Raw genomic sequence first — 3,216 nt, 5'->3', positions numbered from 1 at the left:
CAAAATTCTTCAATTCCTAAGGCTTCAGGTAAAAGGTTTCACTTCTTTCTAAAACATTAGCCCTTACTCTTACAGTGTTTTATTTTCTTTTTGATAATATTCTAGTATCAGAAAATACTTATTTTATGAAAGATTCTGTATTGACTGACTTCATTAAATGAATGCTTCATGGGAGTAGGAATATATTCTACCTAATACACCACTGTATTTTCTACTCTTAGAACAGTGCTTGGCCTAGAGTAGACACTCAGTAAATACATGTTGCATGTTGAAAAATGCATGTAAGAAATTTACTTTCACCATGTCTTTAGGAAGGTAAATAATACATGATAGCCATTTTAAAGAAGAAGGAAATGATAATTATTCGAGCTATTCACACCCTTCCATGTTTTTGGAAGACCAAGAGAGATGCAATCATGATGAAAAATTGCCATGTCTCAACCTCTGCTCTGAATTTATAGGGGAAATAAAGCCAAGAAAACACAAAATAAGAATAAAATTTCACTGGAACTATGCAACTCCCATTCAGATTAATTGGAAGTAAGCACAGGATCTGAAATAGATGGGGGTTTACAACGTTGAAAAGCTTACAGTAGCTTTTGAATGGTCATCACCAAGGAAGACAGACTCCAACTCAGCCATGGGCTGAAGCAGGTCTGTGTGTGGCCGATTCCTCCTCGCAGCGCCGGGCCGATGTGCAGGAGGGCTGCAAAATGAAGCCCAGCCAGGTGGAGGCTGCCAAAGTTCGGGGCACATCCCAGGGAACAGCCTGGTAGCAGTGATGCCATAAATCACTTCCGGGCCCATGCAGGTGCAGGCGAGGCAATTTGATTCTGATCGCTTTTCTTTCTAATAGTTAGTAAACAAAGTCATAAAATTAAGGAGCTGGAATAACCTGAAATGCTAATGCAAAATTAAGCAGTGACATGCTCCTGTCCTTGTCCTACCCCCTTTTTATATTCAAAATCGGCTTGAAAACATCTTGTCCACACAAAAACCACAAAGGCAGTCCAAGAATACATCACACTGATTAAAGAGAGAGCCAAAGGAAGAGGGGAAAATCAGCTCGCCCTAGCTCATTAGCGAGGAAGGATGAGCCGCACGAACCTGACAGGAGTCGTTACCACTCCTGCCCGACAGTCATTTTCATTAACTTTTAAATTTCTTATTTATATGGAAAAGTTAAGATGGTTCAGTGAAATAACAAAATTCCCCACCTACATGGAGAACTTGATTTCTTAAAGCCTACTTGCTTCTCATTCAACGTTAGCTGCCATGCTGCCTGTGCTTCAGCTGCTGGCAGAAGGTTCCGATGACCCTCTTGGCAGCTTCTCCACTGGCTACTTGTCGCCCCACGATTCTAGCAGCAATTCAACTGACCACGCTCTCTTTGAACTCCTACTAATATGCAAGTCAGGTTTCCTGGGTATGTGGTATGCAAAGACCCCTAAGGCCCTGTGATGATTTTATACAAGGAAATCCTGGAGATAAACATGTGATATGTCAGAAAAAACTAATAAATAGACATCCATGTGTTTTCTTCTCTTCTTTCCCAAATCTCTAATGGAGGTCTGTGTACTTGGTTACTGAGGCTCTTGTCGTAATGACAAAAAGTTTTCTAGGCCGGGCGCGGTGGCTCATGCCTGTAATCCCAGCACTTTGGGAGGCTGAGGTGGGCGGATCAGGAGGTCAGGAGATCGAGACCATCCTGGCTAATACGGTGAAACCCCGTCTCTACTAAAAATACAAAAAAAAAATTAGCCGGGCGAGGTGGCGGGCGCTTGTAGTCCCAGCTACTCAGAAGCTGAGGCAGGAGAATGGCGTGAACCCGGGAGTCGGAGCTTGCAGTGAGCCTAGATTGTGCCACTGCACTCTAGCCTAGACGACAGAGCGAGACTCCATCTCAAAAAAAAAAAAAAAAAAAAAAAAAAAAAAAAAAAGTTTTCTTTCCAGCCTTCCCCTCATAACCAAGAAGAAAAAGAAAAGAAAAAGCTGATGAGACTGGGTTGATTTAAAATAAAATAAAGAGATGTTTATTCAAGTCATCGTTGTATGTTTACCCCCCTGGAAACTGCCCTTCTGCCTGAAACACAGAACAGTCATCAATGAGAGATGGAAGTGTCACTCTGAGTCCATAGAACCTGGAGGCAAAAGATGCCCCCATCATCTTCTCAGAGGAAAAAAGGGATATATTGCATCTATGAGAAGTGAATTTTCTGCATCCACAAATTTAGAAGTGGATGATATTTAAACTTTAAACAACCAAGAATAAGAAATAACATACACACATATTTCAATCTCAGTGGAAGATAATAGAGTGGACGTCTAACAAGTAAAACAACAATGACAAATACAAATGGAGACAACAGGGAGAACAGACGAGCGAATGCTAAGATTAATTACCAAGCCAAGGGGAAGAGGCTGTATCAAACTTTTGCTTTTGAACAGAACATAGTAGCTTGGAGGCCAACACTCCCATGGGAAAACACTAAAGAAGTACAAGTTTATTTTAAAAAAATAAAACTACTTAGAGGCATCAGAGAACTACTGAAGAAAAAAGACAAGGGAGAGGAAGAGAAATTTCAGAGGGATAAACCCAAAGCAGTAAACTGACATCCTAAAGCCACTTTCCTTCTGAGGGAATTTCTTTGCTGATTCTGGACACAAGGCAAGAGCTGGGAATCCAAGTTCCGGCCAGCAGTGGATCACAGCTGCTCAGGATACAAGATCAGGAGCAGTCTTGGTGGTCCTGTGGGGCTCAGGGACATAGGATTAAGAGGATAAAGTGGTCATGTGGAGCTGGAGAGAAAAACTAAAGACTGAAAGTGAAAGATTGTGATGAGAAGAAAGTGATTGAGAGGTGAGAAAGACATGCAGCCAGTTTTCCCATGAAGCTCGTCACTGAATTGTGAAGCGTCTTGGGGTAGGAAACTAAGAAACTAAGCTGGAAGATTATGAAAGCTCTCTAAGTGCTGATAAGGCAAGGATTAGGCTTCAACATCCACCCATGGTCAGGGCCTTGGCAGATACACAAAGGTTCTCAATGGAAAGTCCTGGAGAACTTTGCGTTAAGAGTCTTGCCTTAGATATCGTATAGTACATTAAAAATGCAAGTACAAAGTGGAGCTAAACAGATCCTTACAGAAATTGAAACCTAGCCTACTCTCTAACTGGGTTAGGATGATCAACCCTGATTTTTTGTGTCTGGTATAAAAA

At 41.6% G+C, this 3,216-nt stretch overlaps 1 annotated feature.

Moving 5' to 3' along the window:
• Positions 713 to 1,214: an enhancer, noted in NCBI's record as "H3K4me1 hESC enhancer chr2:7695081-7695582 (GRCh37/hg19 assembly coordinates)". NCBI's record gives its function as "activates a minimal SCP1, AML or CMV promoter by ChIP-STARR-seq in naive H9 embryonic stem cells {active_cell/tissue: H9 hESC(naive)}" and the evidence as "EXISTENCE:reporter gene assay evidence [ECO:0000049][PMID:30033119]".

The sequence above is a fragment of the Homo sapiens genome, chromosome 2 (assembly GCF_000001405.40).
Source record: "Homo sapiens chromosome 2, GRCh38.p14 Primary Assembly".
Classification (NCBI taxonomy): domain Eukaryota; kingdom Metazoa; phylum Chordata; class Mammalia; order Primates; family Hominidae; genus Homo; species Homo sapiens.
This window is presented reverse-complemented; position numbering and strand designations above follow the sequence as displayed.